The sequence below is a fragment of the Homo sapiens genome, chromosome 2 (assembly GCF_000001405.40).
Source record: "Homo sapiens chromosome 2, GRCh38.p14 Primary Assembly".
NCBI lineage: Eukaryota > Metazoa > Chordata > Mammalia > Primates > Hominidae > Homo > Homo sapiens.
In genome coordinates, this window is record NC_000002.12 from 43,259,798 (window position 1) to 43,286,210 (window position 26,413).

Below are 26,413 nucleotides of genomic sequence, written 5' to 3' on the forward strand. Positions count from 1 at the left end.
ATATCTTTGGCCCTTGTGCAAATATTCCTGTAGGATAAATTTACTAAAAGGGAATTGCTGGCTCAATTGGCATACACATTTAAATTTCTATAGACACCATTAAACTCTCTCTAAAAATGTACCAATTTATAGTTCCACCTGGTATGATCATGCCTGTTCCTTCACAGCTCTCACCCCAGGTGACAGCAATCTTTTTTTTCTTTTGAGATGGAGTCTCGCTCTGTCGTCCAGGCTGGAGTACAGTGGAATGATCTCAGCTCACTGCAGCCTATGCCTCCCGGGTTCAAGCAATTCTCCTGCCTCAGCCTCCCAAGTAGCTGGGATTACAAGTGCCCGCCACCACATCCAGCTGGTCTCGAACTCCTGAACTCAAGTGATCCTCCAGCCTCGGCCTCTCAAAGTGTGGGATCACAAGTGGGAGCCACCACACCTGGCCAAGAACAATCTTTTTATTCTTTGCCAATAAGATACAGGGAAATGACAGGGTGCTGATGTTCTAATTGGTATTTCTTTTTTATTAGTGAGGATGAGCATTTTTTTCATGCGTGTCCTGTTCACATCTTTTTTCTTCTACAGAGTGCTCGGTTTTTATCTTTTGCCTCTTTTTCTATTGTCTTCATTTACCTATTTTTAAAGACTTCCTCGTATATTATTCATAAAAACTTAATTGCCTAATATATTGCCTGAAGTCCCACCTACTTGGGAGGCTGAGGTGGGAGGATCACTTGAGCCCAGGAGGTACAATGCAAGTACTTCCTCTGAAGACAGGTTCATCTACTGAAATCTTGATTGTGTTTTCCTCTGTATGGGCCTCTAAGGAGTCTTTAATTTTTGTGTTGTCATTGGCATAACGTATTTAGAAGACTGTGCTTAAATATCTAAGTGGCATTATGTTGTTATATTTTTATTTTATATTTCTAGTGTGCTTGCAATTTGGTCAGAATGTGGCCTAGGAAGATTTCTTTATGAAATGGAAATTTTTTTGGTAACATGAAATATGATCAGTTTTTGTAAATGTTATGTAGCTGTTTGAAATGGATGTTTATTTTCTGTCAGAGTACAAGGTTTATACCTATACAAACTTTTAAGTCTGGTATTTAAATCCTTTAAGGCCTCATTCATCTTTGGTTGGCTTGACCTTTTACATTCTGAGAAAGGAAAAGTATCCTACTATGGCTGTATTTTAATAACTTTTATCTAATATTTTGTAGAGTGTTTTTTTTGGTAAATTTGGATGTTATTTTACCCGATATGTAAAGGCTCATGCCTGTTATTTTGTGGATAACTTTTATCATTATCCAATGCTTCTCTTCCTGTCCATCTTCATACTTTTTGTCTTAAATTTGTTTGCCTAATATTATTATTGCCACTCCTGCTTTCTTTCTGTTACCAATTGCCTGAAATAAATTTGTGCATTTCTTTTTTTTTTTTTTTTTTTTTTTTTGAGAAGAGGTCTTGCTGTGTCACCCAGGCTGGAGTGCAGTGGTCCAATCTCGGCTCACTGCAACTTCCACCTCCTGGGTTCAAGCAATTCTCCCACCTCAGCTTCCTGAGTAGCTGGGACTACAGGCATGCACCATCATGCCCAGCTAATTTTTGTATTTTTAGTAGAGATGGGGTTTCGCCATGTTGCCTGGTTTGTGCTTTTTTTTGTTTGAGACAGAGTCTTGCTCTGTCGCCCAGGCTGGACTGCTGCTCTGTCGCCCAGGCTGGACTGCAATGGCACGATCTTGGCTCACTGCAACCTCTGCCTCCCTGGTTCAAGCAATTCTCCTGCCTCAGCCTCCCAAGTAGGTGGGATTACAGGTGCATGCCACTAATGCCTGGCTATTGTTTTGATTTTTTTTTTTTTTTTTGAGATGGAGTTTTGCTTTTTTGCCCAGGCTGGAGTGAAATGGCATGATCTCGGCTCACTGCAACCTCCACTCCCCCAGGTTCAAGCGATTCTCTTGCTTCAGCCTCCCACGTAGCTGAGATTACAGGCGCATGCCACCATGCCCAGCTAATTTCTGTATTTTTAGTAGAGACGGGGTTTCACCCTGTTGACCAGGCTGGTCCCGAACTCTTGGCCTCAGGTGATCCACTCGCCTCGGCCTCCCAAAGTGCTAGGATTACAGGCATGAGCCACCGCGCCTGGCAATTTTTTGTATTTTTAGTAGAGATGGGGCTTTGCCACGTTAGCAAGGCTGGTCTTGAACTCCTGACCTCAGGTGATCCACCCGCCTCGGCCTCTCAAAGTGCTGGGTGTGCATTTCTTTATTTTCAACCATTCCTTGTAAATTTAGGCTTATCTCTTTATCAAAGTGACATAGAGCTGGATGTGTTTCCTTCTTCCTTAGCAAGCGAACTCTAGGTAATGTGCTTAGCCCAAAACATTATGTTTCTTTGCACATCTTGCAGCAAAATATGGACATGTTATTAGGTTGTAGCCAATGAGAGGTAAAGAGAAGTGTTTTATGGGACTTTGGGGGCACTCCTTGAAAGGAGAGGATGCACACTCTTTATTGTTCTTTCTTCCCTTTCTTTTCATCTGTTATGAGGATGAGCTAGCTAATGCTTCTGGCAACCATCATGGATGAAGAGGTGACCTTGAGGATGGAAGCCACATGCCAGGAGAGTGAAGCAGAAAGACAGAAGAAGCATGGGGCCTGGGGCCTGGGGCCTGCCAATCAGTCTGGACTCACTCATATGGAATGGACTGCAGTCACTTGAGAGAGAAAAAAACTTCCACTGTGTTTAAACCTCTGTTTGGCTTTTCTGTCACATGTAGACATCAGGATTACCAAAAGACACATCAGATTTTGCCTTTCTTTAAAAAGAAAACTCAATCTAAGTTCGTGTTTTTTTCCTTTAGTGATTTGAGAGTGTTAATTTCTATTTCAGTTATATTAGTAGTTACTATAAAATGTCTAACAAACGTATTTGTACATTTATTTTTGAAGAACATTAGGACCTTGCTACTCCAAGTATGATCCCCTGATCAGCTGTGTCAGCATCACTGGGGAGTTTTTACGAAATGTAGAATCTCATGCCTTACCTAGGCCCACAGAAACAGAATCTCATTTTGACAAGATCCTCAGGTGATCTGTGTACATATTGCAGTGTGAAAACCACTGCTCTTGAGACTGGCGTCCCCTCCCCACTTCTGTGTAATGTGCAATCATCTCCCACTTTCCTCCTTACGCCTGTGATGGCTTCCATAGAGAGCCAAGTCAGCAGCAGGGCATCCTTGGCCTTTGAAAATCTGGTCCCTATCTACCTTTAGTGTTTGTCCTTCTCCCACCCTACCCCAACTCGACACTCCTCGTGCTGGACTAAATGTGTCACGTAGTTCCCTAAATGTGTCACGGCACTTCCTGGGTATACACTAATCCCTCCCCAGTAGCCCATCCAACAGCTATCCCACTTCCTCCTTGCTAATTAATAGAAGGCCAATTTTGTTCTGGGAGGTGATGGTTCCAGTTCCAAGTGATATGCCCAGAGCCGTCTCATTCTCCATTGCATGATACTTTCTCCTTCAGCCTACCCTCATATCTGGGATGGCCATGTACCTGACCTGGCCAAGGATGCATACAGAAATATATGCTGGGTGGGTGGGTGATTGGGGGGGCATTTTAAATACCTGGATAAAAAGAACCCCGTGAGAAGAAAAATGTATGTTCTTATCCCTTCTTTCCTACCTAAAATGTTGGGATGTATCCGAGGTATACAAGCTATCTTGTAACCATGAGGACAAGCACGGGGTCAAAGAGCCAACATGCTAAGGATGAGAAGCAGAAACACCAAGCCAGGTCCTCAAGTGACAGTCTGTTTCTCTCTCCCCACATTCCTTTCTCTTCTATTTGCTCCAAATTCACCCTCCTTTCATCTCTCCTTTAGCTGATGCAACATGGAACTGAGGTATGTTCTAGCCTGTTAGCTATATTACACTATAATACTTATTTATTTTTAAGTTCCAGGGTACATGTGCAGGAAGTGCAGGTTTGTTACAAAGGTAAATGTGTGCCATGGTGGTTTGCTGCACCTATTAACCCATCACCTAGATATTAAGCCCAGCATGCATTAGCTATTTTCCTCATGCTCTCCCTCCTCTCACCCCACCCCTCAACAATACAGCTAAGCCTTTCATTATAAATATCACCCTGTCTCCCCAAATTTCCCCACCCACCAAATCCATCACTCTAAAATAAGAACAGTGGGTTTTTAGTTCCCTGAGACTGAAATTATTTTCCTCCATGGGCTGAGACAGCTAGCCTCCATCTAGGCAAACCTACCCTTACTCTCACCTTCTTCCCTGGTTCTAGCTGGCTATGTCACGGGGCACCTTGCCTATTGGGGACTGATTTTTTTTTTTAAAGCCCATGGTTTCAGGGGAGTGGATGTTGTGAAATAGAGTGAAAAGAAACTGAAGTCTGAATGTAGTGAACTTTTCCCTGCCCCTACATGTGAATAATGACTTGCTGATAGAAGTAGCTTTCTCTTTTTCTTTTCTTTTTTTTTTTTTTGAGACGGTGTTTTGCTCTTGTTGCCCGGGCTAAAGGGCAATGGCGCCATCTCAGTTCACCGAAACCTCCGCCTCTCGGGTTCAAGTGATTCTCCTGCCTCAGCCTCCCGAGTAGCTGGGATTACAGGCATGCACTACCACGCCTGGCTAATTTTGTATTTTTAGTAGAGACGGGGTTTCTCCATGTTGGTCAAGCTGGTCTCGAACTCCTGACCTCAGGTGATCCGCCCACCTCTGCCTCCCAAAGTGCTGGGATTACAGGCATGAGCCACCGTGCTGGGCCAGAAGTAACTTTTTCAAAGATGAAAAACAATCTAAGATTTATGGACAAGGCTGTTCAAAGAGACTCAGTGCTGTTTGTAGCCAAGGTGGAAATTTCAGATTCCTAGATCTACTCTGGATTGGGAGAAAAGAAGGGAAGGGAGGAGCCTGGGGGAAAAAAGAGGGCAAGAGGATAGAGGGCAGGGTTAGAACTAGCTGGAGAAGAACACAGGAAGGTCAGCGCTTTGGAAGATTTCTTGCACCCATCTCTGAGTTCTACAGTACCGTGAACATGACAACCATTTCCAGCAAATGGTGGTGACAGAAACAAATGAACCCACTTTGCTGGCACTGTTTTTCCCTAAGTACCGTGCTGCACACACTTTCAGCATGGATGGAAGGGCGATGGGGACCAGCACTGCATATTGGAGATGAATGAACATTTTATCTGAAACTGGGAATTCTGCTTCTGCAGGTTCTGATCCCTGAGTGTGTGCTTGGGAAGCCACCAGAACAAGATTCCTGCTAGTTTCTCAGAGTCGAATTTAAAATATTTGGCCAGAAGCTTGCCTGTGGTTGGACCAGTCTCTTACAGCAACTCCTGCCCATTCCATCTATCCCCAAAGGCCAGCGGTGGGGGCGGGGGCACTGAAAGGCTGCTGGGAGCAGCCCCAGACCCAGTGCATCTGGACAACCTCCTGGGCCTCGTGGGTGCCGAGCCAACATTTTTGAGTGTATATTTTAAAACCACAGCTTCAAAGTATAAAAATAGTGTGAAAAATAAAAACAGGACTCACAATCAGAGCCTCAATCACTCTGCTGATTAGAGAGGTTAGAGAAATAATAAAATTAGAGTAACCAAACTGAAAGCTTTAAGAGCGTTCCCTTGCTTAGCGAGGAGAATCCTGGGGCCAGACTTGTGCCGGGCCCTTTCCTAAGTTCTTAAGGCAGCTGGGCTTCCACTTAAAACGTCTGTTATCACTCCTGTATCCCCCACGGAGTTATTTATGAAGAAGGTTCCCAGCCAGTCTGCCTGCCAAGCAAGGCATCTCTAACAAGGGCCGGGCAGGCAGGAGGAGCTGAATGAGAAGCCCACAGAGGCTATGCTGTACAACCCCACTTCTTCAAACACGCCCAGGCTGTAACTCAAAACTTGAAAACAACCCGAATCCTTTTCCAAACACAAACCGAATCTCTTCTGTCAGTTTCCATATATTTTCCTAACTCCATTCCCCACCCTGACCCACTCCACAGCAGAAACCAATTTTCTTAACAGAGTGGGTTCTTGGGAGTTTTCTTCCTAAGCGTTCTCATTTGGAACAGATTAAGGGGGCGAGGATGATAATCCGATTTTTTTTTACTTTTGAAACACACACACACACACACACACACACACACACACACACACACACACACACACACACACACAGACTCTTGAGGGTCTGAAGCAGAACCACCACAACCACCACTATGTTCTATGAGTGGCTTTTAAAAGAGGGGAATTTCATTTTCTGGTGTGATGGGACTGGGTTGCCTGGGGAGCCCTTACCAACCTGTCCCAGTGTAACCTGACCCTACAGGCTCATCGCTGGGGCCAGTGAGCTTGCCGGGAGGCTGAGCAGGGGACTGACTGAAGGGAAGCTGCCCATCTCAAACCCCATGTCCACTTTCAACTCCAAAACCAGGCTGTGCTACAGAAACAATAGGTCTGCCTGTCATGAGCCACTCTAGAATGTAACATGCTCCGGGCTGGGCATGGTGGCTCACGCCTGTGATCCCAGCACTTTGGGAGGCCGAGGCGGGCGGATCACAAGGTCAGGAGATCCAGACCATCCTGGCTAACACGGTGAAACCCCGTCTCTGCTAAAAACAAAAAAACAAAAATAAAAAGTTAGCCGGGCGTGGTGGCTGGCACCTGTAGTTGCAGCTACTCGGGAGGCTGAGGCAGGAGAATGGTGTGAACCTGGGAGGCAGAGCTTGCAGTAAGCCAAGATAGCGCCACTGCACTCCAGCCTGGGCGACAAAGTGAGACTCCCTCTCAAAAACAAAAAACAAAAAACAACATGATCCACTCTGCTGTGATGGAGGCCTCAGCCCTTAAAAAGCTTAGTGTGGGTGAAAGGAGGAGTCTCCTAAAGAATGAGCAATGTAAGAGCTAAACAGTGTGGGTCTGACTCAAGGAGAGACACAAAGACTGGAAAGGCTTTGTGGGAAAGGAGGGCATGGGGCTGGGTAGAATCGCGACACTTAACCAGGTTGACTGGCACAAGGAGGACATGCCACGCATAAGCACAGTGGTGGAACAGGCAGGGTGCCAAACTTGAGCCTCCCCTCTCCACTTCCCCATTCCTGCTCCCTTCTAAGTGTGGCTCCCTCCCTCCCGCCATTGCTCCTTTTTTTTGGTCTCTACTAAGTGTTTTCTTCCTTCCCAGTCCCCTTCAATTAAAAAGCTATCTTTCTAGTAAATTCTTGCTCTGGGTAATGCAACTGCAAAGCTTGTGGGCTTGCTTCCTAATGAAGTGTCTGCATTTTGGGTGATGTGTGTGGTCCTAAGAGATGATACAGGGATCAGCAAACAAACTTACCAAGTTAGTGAGAATGTTTAGAACAAAATTCTTATTATTAATGGTTACTTCCTTTTCTTATAAAATTAGCCATGTAAGTTGCTAACAGAAAAAATGATTTGGATACATGTAAAGGAAGGTCTGTTGATTTTAGGTGGCCTACCACCTGAGAGGGTGGACTCCCAACAGTTTAGAAGCAGATGCTCTATCTAATTCATCCCTGTGTCCCCAGATGTTAGTGCCCATGCAGCTGGCACTTGCCAGAACCTCAGTGATTAGGACCTGGTAAAAATAAGAAGATGGCAGATTGCGAGAAGTGAAGTTCCTATCTCCCAAAACCCAGTCTTTCCCCCTTACACAGAAATGGGCTTTTTAGCTAAGCGTGTGTCCATTTAGCTCAACACACGATTTCTGAGCCTCTTTGGCTGAGATCTGTGGCAGATGACGAGGGCCTGGCTGATAAGATCCATGGAAGTGGTGCATGTGACTTCCAGGCTGGCCCTTCCCTCCTGCCTTCCGGCTCACCAGATTGTGGACATGGCAGTGGGAGCTGGCACTGCCATCTGGGGCCATGTGAGGGATGGTGTGTCTTGAAAATGTCAGAGCACCAAGAAAGAAGGTGTGCGCCCCTAATCATACGGACCATCACACTAGTCTACTGAGTGCTCTGTGTGAGGAAAAAATAAGCTACTGACTTGTTTAAGCCACTATTAACTTCTCTTACAGATGCCAAATCTATACCCCGACTAAAACACCAGCTGTTTCATGCTTGAAACCCCAGAAAATACTTCAGAAAGTCCATTTCAAGATACACCCCAAGCTGACAGCCCTGGTTGTACTCCAGTAACTTCAGTACTTCAGCTGGAGGTGAGGAAGCAGGAGAGGGGGAAAGGAACAAGGGAAGAGGAGGCAGAGAGGGAGAAGACAAGTTGCCGTCAAGGCCAATTCTTTGTTTTTGATTCCCACCTGCTGTTCTCTGCCTCTGCTCCTGTAGATCAGCCTCACAAGAAATTCACTTCTGACAAACCCAATTACTGAAATACAGCAACGATTTCCTGGCCATTTTGACATTCAGGGAGGGATTTCTTACTTTTAGCTCATCATGATGCATCAGTGAACAGGTCAGAGCACATCTCTTGAATCCCATTCTCCTCCTAACGCTCATACAGACATTCACATCCAAACTGGGGCTGTGTACTCTTTACAAACAGACACTCTGAAAGGTGCACAGATTCCCAACATGCCATTCTATCTCAATGTACACACCCTGCCCCACGTGTGCAGAGAAAAACCCTCCCTGTACTGGCCCGCCACCACCAGAGCCACTCTCCATTCTGCTCTTCTGCCCATGAGAGGTCTTGCCATGGGGACTGCTGTAGTCAAAATAGAGCAGCAAAAACAAGGAAGCCCAGGCTTTCACAATCCACCAAGCATCTTCTGGGAGATTTGAGAACAGAATTGGAGTTTGGTGGGTAGGATGAGGGCTTCCCAGGTCTCTGATGTCACCCTTTACGCCTCCTTGGATAACAGCAGGATGGTGAGGGAGGGGTCGCCACCGTGGCCAGTGAAGAGGCCTCTCCTGGGCCCCACCCCTGCCCTGCAGAACTTCTCGGGCAGCACTGTCATGACAGCCTGGGTCTGACCTTCATCTGGCTGTTGGGATGGAAGAAGTCTGTGGCTGAGTGAACTCAGGAGGGCAAAGGGCAGGTGCCAGTGCTGGCTGGGGTGCTCAGGAGGGATGCTCCCAATAGAGTCAGGCCTGAAGCTGGGGCTGGAGGAGTCATCCTCACTGAACCAGGGACGAACGAGAAAGGTGGGGGGGCCCATCTTGCCACCCCTGACAGAGTAGTGACCCTAACACCTGAAACTGGCTTAGGTTCAAAAAGGAAGCCTGCTCACCACAGTGAAGAGAAATCCTGCATTGTGATATGGCCTTGCTGAGGAAAGCGAAAGTTCCTGAGGAAAAGGAAAGCACAGAAGAGGAGAGCCGAGGCCACGAGCTGGAGAAGGAAGATCACCAGGCACCAGGCTTGCCCTGACTAACAGGGAAGACAACACCCTGCAGCCGCGTCAGCACCAGATGGCCTAAGCCTCAGACTGAGGGCTTATCATCACCCACAGGGGTCAGTCGCCTTGGCCAGAGAGCTCGGCTTTCAGAAGCAGCAAGAGTCAGGGCAAAATGATGCAAAAATGACCCTCATTTCCTCGAAAGGAGCCTGTTGTTGTCTCTCTGGGGATTAGTCACTGGGAGGCCATGGTAACAATCCCATCACCCCAGCAACCAGGCCCAGCCAGGGTACTCACTGGCACTCATAACTGGCCAGCAGATCGAAGACGGGAGCATTAGTTTGCACCTGCTTTTGCACATCATGGGAGCCGCTGCCAGTGACGCACTCGCTGAGATGCAGGTGAACGTCAGGGGGCCCAGGCTCTCTGGAACAGCAACTGATGGCACACGCAACTTGGAATGCGGCAACCGGAGCTCCACCGTGCCCACCCACTGCAGCTGGCAGGAATGGGGGCCTACCTTGATCAAATCTCTTTATTTTGAAGGAATAAATAAGAAAACAGATAACTGGCTCCCACATAACTATCTTCCTTCAAAAGCATTTCCCCTCACCCTCCACTGGTTCACAGTGGGTTAGGACCACAATTCCTAGCCTCTTCTGTTTCCTCCCCTGCAGCCCCACTGACAATACTGAAGAACACACAGCCAGCTACGGAGAGAGGCCCAGAGAGACCAAGGCAGTGGAATCCCGGGCTGACTCAGGGTGTGGTTTGATTGCTGACTGCTGAGAGATGGCTGGTTTCACAGAACACTTAGTTCTTCCCACCCCAGTGTTGCTGGAGTTCCTCCAAGCCCTCTTCTCAAGGCAGTGTTCCATCTTCTCTGCCCTTACCCCACACCACCCCATCTCACCCCTGCCAGCTCCTCTCTACCCGAGTCTGGATTATTCTCAGGGGGCATCCCTACATTTCTGTCATTTCCTCTGTATAAATCAAGGCTTGGGGGACAGTAGAGAGGTACTGTCCTGGGCCTCAGGAGTGGGTGTTGTAGACCTCGTTTTTCTACTCATTATGTGACACTGGGGAAATCATTTACCTTTCTTGGGCTTCAGTTTCCACATCTGTAAGTCAGAGGCTCTAAAACCCTCGAGTCCTGGGATTCCCTCCCTTTAGGAGGGGCACTGGAGAACAGGAACAGCAGCAGCCTTGACAGAGGACCACCTGCCGCCTCTTGCTGCATCTGCCCTCTATTCCCTTTCCCCAGGGCACACTCTGGTATCTCAGCTCTGGTCCCCAACCCATTTTCTTACACTCTGACTCCAGTGTCTTCTTTCAAACACAACAGTGAGTTTAGAAGACCTTCAATGCACCCCTTTCTCTTAACTCCTGGGTTCTAAACTAGATGCCAGGTTTGGACTCCTTTCCCTGTCTCAGAGAGGATCTGAGAGTGCAAGGCCTCTGTCACCACAGGGGCCGGAGCTCCAACTCTGGCTCTGACACTTATCTGCCTTGGGACGTTGGGCCCATTCCTTCAACTCTCTGAACTTCTGCATATTCACATTTAAAATGGAGGAAGTATAGTAGGTCCCTATAATCCCAGCTACTCAGGAGGCTGAGGTGGGAGGATCCCTTGAGCCCAGGAGTTCAAGACTGCAGTGAGCTACAAGTGTGCCTGTGAACAGCCACCAGTACTCCAGCCAGAGTGATGCCATGAGACCCCACCTTTAAAAACATAAAAATATAAATAAAATGGAGGAAATAATAAAGTATCTCACAGTGTTGTGAGGATCAAAGGGGATAAAATGAAACAGGAGCATCAAGAGGGAGGTGATGAGGTTCTCCTTCCCCTGTCCCCCCACTGGCCTGCTCAGAGTGGGAAAGAGCAGACGGGGCTCTGGGAGGAAGGGGCCACCTCCCCTAGGCCTTCCAGATCGATTCATGTAGCCTTGGCTCTGGTCTCTCACCTGGGACCTGATAAGCAACTGACAAGTATCCACCTGCTGGGCACTTCCCAGGGCCGGCCCTGTGCTAGGCATGTGGGTCCCTATGGATGAAACTCTTGCTCAAGAAATTCCATCCTGCATGATCCAGTATGGAGTGACAAGGGAGACACAGAGTTAGTCCAGGATTTTCTACAGTGGCCAGTCTTAGTAGATGCTTCATCAGTTCCTCATCAGCTGTTTGAATTAATGTCTCTAGGAAGAAGTCAGGACTAAGGCAGGCGATTTAATCTGCCATAATAAGAAAATGCTGTGACCTCAGGGCAATTTCATAACATAAAATCCAAACAGCTCCCCCACCAGGTAGATCTGAAAAACACTAAGCTTCTTACTGGGTTTAACTACTTTGATAGATACATTCCTCAATTCATTCATTCAATTGATCATCAAACAGTGATTCTTATTGAGAATCTATTATGTGCCAAGTTCTGAGAATATAGCAGCAAACAAACAAGACAAAAATCCTACACTCTTGGAACTTTTTTTTTTTTTTTTTTTTTTGACAGAGTTTCGTTCTTTTGCCCAGGCTGGAGTGAAGTGGTGCAATCTCAGCTCACTGCAACCTCCACCTCCTGGGTTCAAGCGATTCTCCTGCCTCAGCCTCCCGAGTAGCTGGGATTACAGGCATGCACCACCACGCCCAGCTAATTTTTGTATTTTTAGTAGAGAAGGGGTTTCACCATGTTGGCCAGGCTGGTCTCGAACTCCTGACCTCAGGTGATCCACTTGCCTCGGCCTCCCAGAGTGCTAGGATTACAGGCGTGAGCCACCACGCCCGGCCTCTCTTGGAACTTTTATTCCGGTGGAGAGAAACAAATAACAAATAAATAAAATTATGCAGATAATTAAACCAGTGGGGTGAATGATAGCAAATAACTGGGTGGTTACTGTAGTCTGAGAGGTCAAGGCAGGCCCCCTGTGCAGATGACACTGAAGCTGAGATTGGAATGATATGAAGGAGTCAGCCATGCAGGACAAGGGAAGAATATTCCAAGCAGAGGGAACAGCTACTGCAAAGGCCCTGAGGTTGGAATGGGCTCTGGAGTTGGAAAACCCCAAAGATGGCTGGAGTGGCTAGGGGAGGAGCGGCAGGGGCTGGACTGGGTAGGATTTTATATGTTGCCTTAGGAGTCTGGGTTTTACCCAGATTAAGATGGGAAGCCAAGAGAGAGTTCTGAGCAGAAGAGCAGTATCATCTGTTTTACTCCTGAAGAAGTGAGCCTGAATTGCAACGAACAAAAATAGAGGCAGGAAGACCAGGCTGTAGAAGTCTGGGGAGAGATGGTGGTGGCTTGGACTAGCACATGAAACAAGCCTGGCGGACAGGCACTTTCTAAGTATTTGTTGAATGAATGAACAAGTGAATGATTGAATACCCTTGATCTGACCACTTCTCATCTCATACTTAAATAGTAAGAAAAATCTATAGACTATCTTAAGTAGGAGTAAGAGAAGGGGTCAGAAAACAATTTAGAGTTTTGGTTTTGTGCTTTTTTTTTTTTTTTTTTTGAGACAAGGTCTCACTCTGTCACCTAGGCTGGAGTGCAGTAGCATGATCATGGCTCATTGTAGCCTTGACCTTCTGGGCTCAAGTGATCCTCCCACCTCAGCCTCTTCAGTAGCTGGAACCACAGGCATGCACCACTACACTTGGCTAATTTTTAAATTTTTTTGAAGAGACAGGGTCTCCCCATGTTGCCCAGGCTGGGTTTGAACTCCTGGGCTCAAGTGATCTGGCTGCCCCGGCCTCCGAAAGTGCTGGGATTACAGGTATGTGCCACTGTGCCTAGCCCCAATTTAGAATTTTAAAGTAGACACATATAAATGATGGATGGCCAGGCACGGTGGCTCATGCCTGTAATCCCAGCATTTTGGGAGGCCAAGGCGGGCAGATTACTTGAGGTCAGGAGTTCAAGACCAGCCTGGGCAACATGTAGTAGCCCCATCTCTACTAAAAATACCAAAATAAGCCAGCCATGGTGGTGTGTGTCTGTAATCCCAGCTACTCAGGAGGCTGAGGCAGGACAATCGCTTGAACCCGGGAGGCGGAGGTTGCAGTGAGCCGAGATTGCACCACCACTGCACTCTCGCCTGGGCGCCAAGAGTGAAACTCTGTCTCAACAACAACAACAACAACAAAAAAAAAAAAAAGAAGAAAAAGAAATGATGGAGGCAAATAAGTTTAACTCATCTGAAGAGGAATTTAGGCCAGGCTTGGAGATAGGTAGGAGGATATATTCTAGTAAAGTGATTCTTAACTTTTTTGGGTCATTCTTCTTTAGAAAAAGGTACTTGGTACATCTACAATATTGAGTCTGGGGCCAGGCTCTGGCACCACAGAGCAGAAAGGGCACTTTGAAGGCGATATACCTGAGTCGATTAGGAAAGAGCCTACTGGAAGGCAGGAGGAAGGGGGAGGCAGTCAGTACTTGCAGAGCCCTTCTAGTGCCTGACTCTGTGATCTGGCAGGAACTGAAAAAAGCACAGGGCCTGCTGCGGGTCTGAGACTGGTGGGCAGCCTTAGAGGTTCCAGGAGTGGAATCATCTGTGACTCAGTGTGAAGTCCCACAGGGCTGGGGCTTTGCTGACTGAGCTGTCTCACTCCATAGGGCCACTGGAAAATGTCACAGTGACCCAGGCCTTTCTATCTCTCTCCTCCCAGGCTTCCCTCCCTGTTTGCTCAAGGGTCGGGGCATATGAGAAGTGTTCATCCTTTCATGCTGGCTCACGGGCTCTGTGTGGGTGACGATGATGCACACATGTATACATGTGTGCAGATGTTGTTTTTTTCCTTCTTTGCCTTGCCCTGGCTACATGGCTGCTTGGACTCAACCTCACAATGCCACTTGCCTACTGCTCCCTCCTCTAACCTCTGAGTCTCATTTTTCTACATCTCGCTCCTACTTCCCCTCTTCCACCTCCCTCCTAAACACCATTGTTATTCCAGTCTCTATGGGTCACCATGCCAAGCACAGGAGGCTCCTTTGGTGTCTCCCAGATAACCCAGGGGCATGGTCCCTGCAGCCCCAGGCTGGCTTTCTGGTCCTGTAATCCAAGACCCTGACTTCAGAGGTAAGAGTGAGGAGGGACCCAACACTACAGGCTGCAAACTCAGCCTACCAGACCCGGACAGTGTGCGAGTCAGCAAGACTGCCACCCTAGTTGGTATGAATCAGTGAAAAACGCTGTCCCTTGAGCTGGTTCCAGCAGAGAGGGTCTGCCTGCTTGTTCTGAAGCTTTCTTATTTCAAAGCGTACTCTCATGTTTCTTTTGCCACCTGACTATGGTGAAAAATCAATCCATTAACACAAATTGAGCACCCACTGTGTACCTAATAGAAAACAGTCTCTAAGTTCATGAGGGCTAGTTGGGAAGAGAGAACTAAAGCACAGGAAAGGGAAAATGATAAAAGCGTAGAATAGCAAAGGCTCTGTGATGATACAATAACCAAATGCTGCAGCGGCTCAGGGAATGGGGAGATCCTGGAGGGCAAGGGTGCTGTCGAGAAGATGGGATTTAATGCATTCCCGCTAAATGTCCATATTTGGAAGGATGAGCAGAAGTTTTACATGACTTTTTGTGGGCAAGGGGCCTTCTAGGAGAGAGGGACCAGAACTACTTGGAGACAGTATTCCAAGAAAAAGAGCCACAGCCGATCTGCCTGCTTGCCTACCCACTATCCCCTTTAAAGGTCTTACATATTTTCTTTCATAAGAAAGTTTCTACCAAGAAGTCATCCTTCTTGAACCAAAACACTGACAACAGGCATGAAATCTGGCACGCCTTAAAATTCCTTGCTCAGTGCCTTCTCTTATCCTGTATCAACTCAAGCAGAAACTGTTTTCCTTTCTTTTCTTTTCTTTTCTTTTTTTTTTTTTTTTGAGGGAGTCTCACTCTGTTGCCTAGGCTGGAGTGCAGTGGTGTGATCTTGGCTCACTGCATTACTGCGAAAATTCCACCTCCGAGGTTCAAGCAATTCTCCTGCCTCAGTCTCCAGAGTAACTGGGACTACAGATGTGCACCACTATGCCCAGCTAATTTTTGTATTTTTATTAGAAATGGGGTTTCACCATGTTGGCCAGGCTGGTCTTGAACTCCTGACCTCAGGTGATCTGCCCACCTCAGCCTCCCAAAGTGCTGGGATTAGATGCGTGAGCCACCGCACCTGGCCAGAAACTGTTTTCTGAGCCTCACAAATGGAGACGGGAATGGGAGGAGGCCATCTAAATTAGGTGGCCAATAGTGGCTGAAGCCGAAAGAGCAAGAAAGGGGGAGATCCAGTGCCAGGAAAAGCAAGAAGCCTGAGGGAAGTCCAGAAAGCCATCCCCCTGCCTGCCCTGTCCCCATGGCCCATCCAGCTCCCAGAGGCACCCTGCCTCTGCTAAGTGGAACGTATGTGGTTCTGCCTGGGGACCTCCTGATCTAGCCATCCTTAAGCCCATCCTGGAGTCCTTCGGTCTAACTCTCTGCAGTATTTCCAGCTAAGCCACACCAGATAACTTGCATCAGAGTGAAAGAGCTCTGCAAAAAGAAAAGGCTCAGGTATCCCTGGCTTGTAGGAAAGGCTATGGAAGAACCCCAATCACTGGATTCTTTCTAACCTTCTAAGATACCTTTCTTATCTTCTCTTCCTCTGAAGGCAGCTTCACAAATTTGTACCTTCATGGGTTCCTCTCCTGCTGCTCTCATCCAGAACTCTGCCTAACTTAAGAATCATGCAAATGCCAGGATTTAAAGTTAAGTATTGTCCAGGTTGTTTTTCCCACACAGAGGCCTTTGTTCAAATGAAATCTGACATTAAATGCCCGATGTGGTATATAAAACAGATCTGAGTGGCCGCTTGGTGGAAGAGGGTGGGGAGCTGCAGAGATAGCCTTGAGCATCTCCTGCTCTTGTAGCATTAGAGCTCTTTCCTGAGCATTTCAAGGCCTGAAGTCAGAGCAGGGAAAGGAGGAAGGCAGAGCCTTGCCTGGAGTCCAGCCCACAAATTTTTTTTCTCCTAGCTACAAATTTCAATACCTTACTCTTAAGTCCTGGAAATGTCATTTCTTCCATTCCCTTCTGCAGGCTCCATGATTGGTACAGAGTGGGGAGGGAGGGGCAGAGAGGGTCCTGCAGCTGGGGCTCCCTGATGTCCATACTTCTAAGGGCTGAGGGTGCTTTGGACATTGCAGGGAGAGAGTTGTTAACAGGCTGTGAGTTTCATGCTTCCCTGTGTGGGCTGCAGCATGTGCAGGAGATTCCAGCAGGCAAAAAAGGTGAATAAGAAATCTGTTCTCAGGAGGGCCGGCTAACCATGGCATTATTTTCTCCAGGCCTTCTAGAATCATTAACTAATCAAATCTAGACCTAAAGCCAATTATGCAAAAGGATATGTTAGGGTGAGGAAGTCTGAATGACTGCATTTAATGCTTGCCTATTCTACAGGTTCCAGAAAGTGCCCGTGGGGACCGATAACTAGATCTGTTAAGGAGCACTGGAGATCCCAGGATAGCTGTGCTGCGTTCTGAGGAAGGCAGGACAGAACCCAGACAGTTTATTCTGTTCCCACAGCAGATAAAGGTCTCCCTTTGCCCTCTCCATTTCGAATGTTGAGCTCTCCAAGACCTAAGGAAAACTTTGTCCTGGATCACAGTGACTTGTGGCCTCTGAGTGCCTTTCCCGATTTCCTGGTAGTTTCACTTCCTGGAATGCCACAGTCTGACTTCTACATCAGTGCCAGAGGCATGCCTTGTTATTTTCCCCTGGACACCTCACAGGTTTGAAACTCTGAAGTCACCTCATGCTTTCCCTTCTCTCCCACCTCCCACAGCAGCAGTCCCCATGTTGAGATTACCCAACCCCCAACCAGTATTCTCATACATCAGTCCTCTCCTCTCCATCCCAACCCCACTGAGAGCAGCTGGAGAGGACTGTTGCTGCCAGCCCCCAGCTGATTTCCCTGCCTGGCAAATCCCCTCACTCAGCCCCAGCCCTGGCCCATCACACACACTGCTGCCAGAGATTCCACAAGTATGTCTCCGGTAACATCAGTCTCCTCTGAGTGCCTTCCCACCTCATTCCTGCTTTAAACCCTCTCTAGCTTCCCATTACCTGCAGAAGGAGATCGGGCCTTGGCACTGAGCCATCCCACAAGCAAGTGCCCCTGCCTTGCTCAGTTCATTTCCTGCTCCTCTTCCTTGCCTGGCCTGAGCCTGTGTTCTGACCACAAAAGTCCACTCACTGCTGCCCAATCAGCTCCCGGGTTCTCCCCAACTCAGGGCTTTGGCTCCAACTTCTCTTTCTGCATTGACTGTTCTGCTCTCATTTGTGTCACATCTCTCCCTTCCTTTGGGCCCACTCCACTCTCCAGACCCTTTCCAGAGAGACCCCACAGAATGCACCTCCTACTTCCCCAAGCTCCTCCAGCAGGCTGCTAGGAGACGGTCTGAGAGCAGAGCTCTGTCTGCATCCATCCCTCACTGACAGTGGGAGATCTCAGAGGTGTGGAGCTCTTGTGTTGTATTTCTTTCTTCGAGGAAAACTGAGAAGTAACTTTAATTTTTTCATTGTAATTTTAACTCCTCAAAGAAGACATTAAATATTAACACAACTTAATAATGTTATTTTACTGTGGCATTTAGTCAACCACCGATTTGGGGACAAAAGAAACAACGTGTACTTTTAAGGTAGTCAAGATTCAATCGTAATTAACTTGGAACACCAAAGAGGAAAACATCAGCAGTGTATTCTACAAAATCCTTATATGCTGAAGGAATGTGAAGTTACCACCAGCACTTGATATCCTTGAGAGATGGTAAAACAAGACAATATTGTTCTTTTTTTTTTTTTTTTTGAGATGAAGTCTTGCTCTGTCATCCAGGCTGGAGTACAGTGGCACTATCTCAGCTCACTGCGACCTATGCCTCCTGGGTTCAAGAGATTCTTCTGCCTCAGCCTCCCGAGTAGCTGGGATTACGGGTGCCCGCCACCATGCCCAGCTAATTTTTCTATTTTTAGTAGAGATGGGGTTTCACCATATTGGCCAGGCTAGTCTTGAACTTCTGACCGCAAGTGATCCACCCATCTCAGCCTCCCAAAGTGCTGAGATTACAGGCGTGAGATTACTGCGCCTGGCCTAAAACAAGACAATATTGTTCTGATCAATCAATTGCCTAACTTCTGATTAAAGAAAAAAATCAGGGTGATTCTCAGTCCTCAGCTACTTTTCAGTCTAAAGAAAAAGATCTATATTTTATGCTTAAGAAAATCAAGCTGGGCTGGGTGCGGAATCTACTGAGTATTATATTCCAACAAATATTTACCGAACACTTACTAGGCTTTCTGTGTGTCCTTCTAAGCAAATGCTGCAATTGGAAAAATGAATAAATTGCCAATGGCAGAATTTTAGCTATTGGGCAAGTCTGGCAGGTTGGGGGCTGAGGGGAGCCTGCTTGCATATCACTTGCAGCTCTGTTCCAAATGCTATCCTGCTGAGAGGAAAAGCTGATCTAGGCGAAACCTGCCCTGGTGCGGTATCACTGAGAGATTATTCCAAAACTAGCTTCTTCCACATAGGCAGAGAAGTGTACACAGACCATTTTGACTGAGGATTCAGATCCTGGAAGGTTCACACATCTGGGGAGGCTTCCAGGGAACACAATCCTGTGTCCTGCCTTGGCAAGCAGCCCCAGCCACAGTAACTGATGAGGGGCCTTGCATCAATTACAAAGGCTTATCTGGCCTCCTTTTCTCTCATTCTGCTGTCTATTAAGGTGAACTTCTTTGCTCAGCTTTGATCCCTTGCCTCAAAACAGTGTTCTTGCTTCTCATTGGGACCGCTGATCCAGAGACCTTTCCTGGCACCCAGCCCCAAGCACAGAGAATCCGAGTCTGCTAAAGCAGGCACCCTCCCAGATGGCCACTTGTCCAGAGGTGTGACCTTATTTCTACTCCATCTGCCCCCATCTCTTTCATCCAGCAGCCCATTTTCTACCCACAGCCTGAGTTCCTTTTAGCTTTCGTAGCATTTGCCATTACATGCACATGACCCCGGGCCTGGGGCTGTAACCGCTTATACGACGGCTGCGACCTCAGGACTACCCAGCTAGGGTGCTCTTCTTTCCACTCCCCTCCTCCCTCCTGGGTTCATGTTATTATCAAATGAGCAGCTAGGACACAAAGTAGAGAAACTTAACGTACACATAATCATTTCTCGCTTTCTGTCACATATAAAAACTCAGGAACAAAATGATGGTTTTGTGATTCCTGAGTTATGGAACCACACAGATAATAGAGACTTGGCATTATTTAAAACCGATGACAACGTAACCAGCAAAAGACCTAACAGTTTATTAAATTTCTACCTTTAAAAATAATTTTTCTTTAGGATGTCCTACAGCAGGGGTCAGCAAACTACGGCTAGTAGATCAAATCTGAGAAGCTGCCTATTTTTGTAAGCAAAGTTTTATTGGAACACAGTCATGCCCATTTGTTTACCTACTGTTTGTGGCTTTCCCACTAAGATGGCAGAGTTGAGACACAGACCAAATGACCAACAATGCCTAAGATACTATCTGGCTCATTATAGAAAAGTGTTCCAACCTCTATCCTGCAGCGATAAGACAATGCAAAAGGATAAGAACGAGGTACCTGTTGACTGGCAGGTATTTTCTTGTGACATGGCAGTTGTCACGGTTTCCGTGGCTGCATCTCTAACAGCTTGCTCCTCACTCTGCAGAAGGGTAAGGACACACTTCCAGAGAGCAAGTGTATCCTGCAACTCTAAGAAGACCAAAAGGAATCTGAATTACCTAGAATGCAATTAACAGGCAGGTGCAAATACTGCTTCAAATCCCTGGTGGAAGAGAGGAGCATTGAATGAGTTACAGCTATCTCTTTTTTTCTGGGTATTGTTAAGATAGAAAGAGTGTTAGACAAACATTGGCAAAGACAGACTCCTAAGGGAGCAGATTTGGAAATGCCTTTTTTGGGGGTGAGGATGTAGGCTTTCCGGAGGCAACCAGCGCTAGGCAAGGCCTCCAGAAGATGCTGCCCAGGTGACAAAGACCCTCTGCCCTGCTCTCCTAGTTGAGTCCTGATTCTCTAGAAGAAAACTTTATGCATAAGACTGCTTTGGAGAAACTAGCCCAGTGTTGATTCAAGTGTCTGAGCCTATAAATTCTGAAAGTGAAGCATCAATCAAGATTATGCTCTGGGGGCAAGAATAAAAAAAGAGAGGCTAGGTGTGGTGGCTCATGCCTGTAATCCCAGCACTTTGGGAGGACGAGGAGAGTGGATCACGAGGTCAGGAGATTGAGACCATCCTGACCCATATGGTGAAACCCCGTCTCTACTAAAAATACAAAAATTAGCTGGGCGTGGTGACGGGCGCCTGTATTCCCAGCTACTTGGGAGGCTGAGATGGGAGAATCGCTTGAACCTGAGAGGCAGAGGTTGCAGTGAACTGAGATCGTGCCACTGCACTCTAGCCTGGCGACAGAGTGAGACTCCATCCTCGCTCCCGACCAAAAAAACAAAAAACAAAACAACAACAACAACAAAAAAAAGAGACCCATGATAAAGGCAGCAGCTTGTGTCCCATGTATGTAGGGGGTCCACTATCTGACTGCCATTACTCCTGGACACTGATCTGTCTAGTCAGCCTGTGCTAGGTGCTGCTGCGGACAATGAATAATAAAAGATAGTATCTTGTCCTGAGCAATCAAAAGGAATATAAAGTCAAAAACACAAAGCAATGAGTTGTGAAGAACAAAATTGTGTGGCTGTGATTCCCAACAGGAAAGATGAGAGTGGACTGCTGTAACTGACACAGAATTCATGACGAAAGTGAGAGGTGAGCATGGCCTCCCAGAAAGGGGTACCTCTAGTCCAGGTGGGGTGGGCCTGGGCTTGTGGAGGGTTATCACTGGAGGGCCATGGAAGACCACCACGCAGCATCCCCATCCTTTCAATGGAGAAACTACCCTTCCCTAAGAACTCCCCTTTGTCTATCCTCTACCTCATCTGTACATGGAGAACCTGGTTTCAGAGTCACTGATGCTTTAGTCATACCAATAATAACAGTGGCTCCATTTGGGGTTTCGTTCTCTTCTTTTCATTACAGATCTGATTTAAATTTTACTCAGCCTTTCAGTCTCCATTCTTTCTAGTTGTTCTGTAAGGGTTCAATACCTTCCTTTCTTAATATTTTCCTCTTTAATATGGTCATCATTTATATCCTTCAGATCCTTCCCTCTTTAGTCCATTTCAATTTTTCTTTTTCCTTAAATGACTTTGCTGTGCCCTTGACTTTTCTCATGTACTTCTTTTTTTTTTTTTTTTTTGAGATGAAGTTTCACTCTTGTTGCCCAGGCTGGAGTGCAATGGGGCAATCTTGGCTCACCGCAACCTCCACCTCCCAGGTTCAAGTGATTCTCCTGCCTGAGCCTCCCGGGTAGCTGGGATTATAGGTATGCACCACCACACCCGGCTAATTTTGTATTTTTAGTAGGGACAGGTTTTCACCATGTTGGTCAGGCTCAAACTCCTGACCTCAGGTAGACCCACCCTCCTCAGCCTCCCAAAGTGCTGGGATTACAGGCATGAGCCACCACGCCTGGCCTCTCATGCACTTTTATGTCCTTTGCTTCTACCTATTCAGTACCTTTTTCATTGAGATGGGGTCTCACTATGTTGCTCAGGCTGGAGTGCAGTGGCACAATGGCTCACACTGCAGGCTCGACCTCCCAGGTTCAAGGAATTCTCCTGCCTTAGCCTCCTGAGTAGCTGGAACTACAGGTGTACACCACCACATCTGGCTAATTTTTTTATTATTTGTAGACAAAAGATCTTGCTGTGTTGCCCAAGCTGGTCTCGAACTCCTGGGGTCAAGTGATCTTCCTGCCTCGTCCTCCCAAAGTGCTAGGATTATAGGCATGAGTCACTGCACCTATTTCTCATGTTCTTGTAGGCACAGGACCAAATTTCACAAAAGAATTCCAGGTTATTCCACACACATTTTACCTGTTATAAGCTAGGGTTTGAGTAGTTAAAGTCACCCAGAAAATGTGCTGCAAAATGGTATTAACTTTACTGGAGAAGCTTGACTAAGGTTTGTCACCCTTTGCTCTTATTCCTTCGGGTCTCATGATTAAATCACACTCACAGAAGGTCCCTTCTCAATGTCTCTCTGGCTGTAAGAAAAATGCCTGAAGTCACTAAGAAGAAAAAAGTTAAAACCATATTGAAGAAAACGTTGTCTCCCAGAGAGATACAGGGACAGGAGACCCTTTATTGGTCTGAACTCCTACAACATTTAAAATTTGGATCTCACTATCTAAAAAACAATTCCTTCCTTTATTCTATAAATCCTTTCTCCACAACTATACTGAAAGCTCCTTGGAGGCAGTGACCATGTCTGATTCTTGAGGGCTGGGCATGGAAGAGGTACACAAAAATATAATTCTACTAATAGGTGAGAAGAGAATCATAGCATGTTAATACGGGATTAAACATGGCAGGAGAGGGCAGGGTTGGGGTTGAAGCACAGCTGTAGAACCTGGGGTTTCCTTTTATTAAACCCTATGCTTAAAAGCAAAACAAAAAACAAAATGACACAATTTAAAAAATTTTAAAAAAAGAACTATGCTTTTCAATTCCTTAGGATATTCTCAAGCTTGGTTTTCTTATACATCATTGACATGCTGCCCTTTCCTATTACTCTTGACACACGGAGTAGCAGTGAGGAGAGACATGGACGTGTACAACATGCTGGAAACCAGATAAGATCTGTACATCCATTTAATTTCAAAATATCTCCACCTTTACGTCCCAAAGATACTAATATGGTTTGGATTCACAAATCTCATGTTGAATTGGAGTGGATGGTGGGAGGTGAGTGAATCCTGAAGGCAGATTTCCTCCTTGCTGTTCTCATGATAGTGAGTGAATTCTCACAAGATCTGATGGTTTAAAAGTGTGTGGCACTTCTCCCTGCTCTCTGACTCTCCTGCTCTGCCATGGGAAGCTGTGCCTTGCTTCCCCTTTGCCTTCTGCCATGATTGTAAGTTTCCTAAGGCCTCCCAGCCATGCTTCCTGTTAAGCCCATGGAACTGTGAGCCAATTAAACCTCTTTTCTTGATGAATTACCCAGTCTCAGATAGTTCTATATAGGAGTGTGAGAATGGACCAATACAGAAAATTGGTACTGGAAGTGGAGCACTGCTATAAAGACATTTCCACCTGAAAATGTGGAAGCAACTTTGGAACCGGGTAATGGGCAGAGGTTGAAACAGTTTGGAGGGCTCAGAAAAAGACAGGAAGATGTGGGAAAGTTTGGAACTTCCTATAGACTTGTTGAATGGTTTTGATCAAAATGCTGACAGTGATATGGGCAATGAAGTCCAGACTGAGGTGCTCTCAGATGCAGATGAGGAACTTATTGGGAACTGAAGTAAGGTCACTCTTGCTCTGCTTTAGCAAAGAGATTGGTGGCATTTTGCCCCTGCCCTAGAGATCTGTGGAACTTTGAACTTGAGAGAGATGACTGAGGGTATCCGGCAGAAAAAATTTGTAAGCAGCAAAGCATTCAAGATGTGACCTGGCTGTTTCTAAAAGTATACACTCATATGCATGAACAAAGAGATTATCTGAAACTGGAACTTACATTTAAAAGAAAGTGAAGCAGAGCATGGAGCCTGGCCATGTGGTACAAAAGAAAAACCCATTTTCTGGGAAGAAATTCAAGCCTGCTGCAGAATTTGCATAAGTAAAGAGGAGCCAAGGCTAGGTGCAGTGGCTCATGCCTATAATCCCAGCACTTTGGGAGGCTGAGATGGGTGGATTGCCTGAGGTCAGGAATTCAAGACCAGCCTGGCCAACATGGTGAAACCCTGTCTCTACTAAAAGTACAAAAATTAGCCAGGCATGGTGGTGGGCACCTGTAATCCCAGCTACTGAGGAGGCTGAGGCAGGAGAATCGCTCAAACCCAGGAAGTAGAGGTTGCAGTGAGCCAAGATCGTGCCATTGCACTGCAGCCTGGAAAACAAGAGTGAAACTCCATCTCAAAAAAAAAGAGAAACCGAATGTTAACAGCCAAGATGATGGGGAAAATGTCTCCAGGGCATTTCAGAGACCTTCACAGCAGCCCCTCCCACCAAAGGCCAGGAGGCCTAGGAAGAAAAAATGGTTTCTTAGGCCAGGCCCAGGGCCCAGCTGCTCTGTGCAGCCTCAGGACACAGCACGCTGTGTCCCAGCTGCTCTAGCTCCAGCTGTGACTAAAAGGGGCCAAGGTACAGCTCGGGCCATTGCTTCAGAGGGTGCAAGCCCCAAGCCTTGGTGGCTTTCATGTGGTGTTGGGCCTGTGGGTGTGCAAAAGGCAAGAGTTGAGGTTTGGGAACCTCTGCCTAAAGTTCAGAGGGATGATGAAAACACCCAGATGTCCAGGCAGAAGTCTGCTGCAGGAGTGGGGCCCTCATGGAGAACCTCTATTAGGGCAATATAGACGGGGAAATGTGGGGTTAGAGCCCTCACACAGAGTTCCCACTGGGGCACTACCTAGTGGAGCTGCGAGAAGAGGACCACCGTCCTCCAGACCCCAGAATGGTAGGTCCACCGACAGCTTGCACTGTGTGCCTGGAAAAGCCGCAGGCACTCAACACCACCCTGTGAAAGCAGCTGCAAGGGCTGTACCCTGTAAAGCCACAGGGGCAGAGCTGCACAAGGCCTTTGGGAGCCCACTCCCTGCATCAGCATGCCCTGGATGTGAGACATGGAGTCAAAGGAATTTATTTTAAAGCTTTAAGATTTAATGACTGCCCTGCTGGGTTTTGAACTTGCATGGGGCCCGTAGACCCTTTGCTTTGGCCAATCTCTCCCATTTGGAATGGGAGCATTTACCCACCACCTGTACCCCCATTGTATCTTGGAAGTAGCTAACTTGTTTTTGATTTTACAGGCTCATGGGTGGAAGGGAGTTACCCTGGCTCAGATAAGACTTTGGACTGTGGACTTTTGAGCTGATGCTGAAATGAGCTGAACCTGGAGGACTGTTGAGAAGGGATAATTGTATTTTGCAATGTGAGAAGGACATGAGATTCAGGAGGGGCCTGGGGCAAAATGATATGATCTGGACTTGTGTCCCCACCCAAATCTCATGTTGAATTGGAGGCGGGGCCTGGTGGGAGGTGATTGGATCATGTAGGCAGATTTCCCCCTTGCTATTCTCATGACAGTGAGTGAGTTCTTATGAGATCTGATGGTTTTAAAGTGTGTGGCACTTCTTCCTGCTCTCTCTCTCTCCTGCCACCATGTGAAGAAGGTGTTTGCTTCCCCTTTACCTTCTGCCATAATTGTTAAGTTTCCTGAGGCCTCCCAGCCATGCTTCCTGTTAAGACTATGGAACTGTGAGTCAATTAAACCTCTTTTCTTCATAAATTACCCAGTCTCAGGTAGTTTTTTTTTTTTTTTGAGATGGAGTTTTGCTCCTTGCCCAGACTGGAGTGCAATGGCGTGATCTCGGCTCACCGTAACCTCTGCCTCCCGGGTTCAAGCAATTCTCCTGAATAGCTGGGATTACAGGCATGTGCCACCAAGCCTGGCTAATTTTTGTATTTTTAGTAGAGACAGGGTTTCTCCATGTTGGTCAGGCTGGTCTCGAACTCCCGACCTTAGGTGATCCACCCGCCTCAGCCTCCTAATGTGCTGGGATTACAGACGTGAGCCACTGTGCCTGGCTCAGGTAGTTCTTTATAGCAGTGTGAGAACAGACTAATACAGATACCTTCAACTTAAAAATCACTGAATGCAACCAGCAGCCTATCCAGTCACTTTAGCCAGAAGCCTAGAAGTCATTCTTGAATTTTCCTCTATATCAACCTCAATACCACCAAGTCCTGTTGATTCTACTTCCTAAATCTTTTGAGCCTGTTCTCTCTTCCTTGCTGCCACAGCTTCACACTCATCCATTCATTTCTCACCTAGATTATTGCAATAGGCCTCCCAGAAGAGGGGACAGTTAGGCTGTTTTGAAAGACAAATAGAAGTCAGTCAAGCAGTGGTTTGTTTAATTTAGAGAACTGTTCCCTACTGATGACAC

At 46.9% G+C, this 26,413-nt stretch overlaps 1 protein-coding gene across 7 annotated transcripts in view, besides 3 other annotated features; it reads right to left on the reverse strand.

The window, feature by feature from the left end:
- THADA (THADA armadillo repeat containing) overlaps positions 1-26,413 on the reverse strand; it is a 365,188-nt gene that overhangs the window by 28,947 nt on the left and 309,828 nt on the right. For all 7 annotated transcript variants that reach the window (NR_073394.2, NR_144316.2, NM_001345924.2 and 4 more), the window contains one exon: positions 19,968-20,099. Coding sequence is in view for 5 of the 7 variants with exons in the window: in NM_001345924.2 (NP_001332853.1) it covers positions 19,968-20,099 (132 nt within the window). In the remaining 2 variants the exon portion in view is untranslated. The remainder of the gene's footprint in view (positions 1-19,967; positions 20,100-26,413) is intronic.
- Positions 13,380-13,880: an enhancer, noted in NCBI's record as "H3K27ac hESC enhancer chr2:43500316-43500816 (GRCh37/hg19 assembly coordinates)". NCBI's record gives its function as "activates a minimal SCP1, AML or CMV promoter by ChIP-STARR-seq in naive H9 embryonic stem cells {active_cell/tissue: H9 hESC(naive)}" and the evidence as "EXISTENCE:reporter gene assay evidence [ECO:0000049][PMID:30033119]".
- Positions 13,649-13,698: an enhancer, noted in NCBI's record as "active region_15668". NCBI's record gives its function as "activates an Ori minimal core promoter by ATAC-STARR-seq in GM12878 lymphoblastoid cells {active_cell/tissue: GM12878}" and the evidence as "EXISTENCE:reporter gene assay evidence [ECO:0000049][PMID:35858748]".
- Positions 13,881-14,381: an enhancer, noted in NCBI's record as "H3K27ac hESC enhancer chr2:43500817-43501317 (GRCh37/hg19 assembly coordinates)". NCBI's record gives its function as "activates a minimal SCP1, AML or CMV promoter by ChIP-STARR-seq in naive H9 embryonic stem cells {active_cell/tissue: H9 hESC(naive)}" and the evidence as "EXISTENCE:reporter gene assay evidence [ECO:0000049][PMID:30033119]".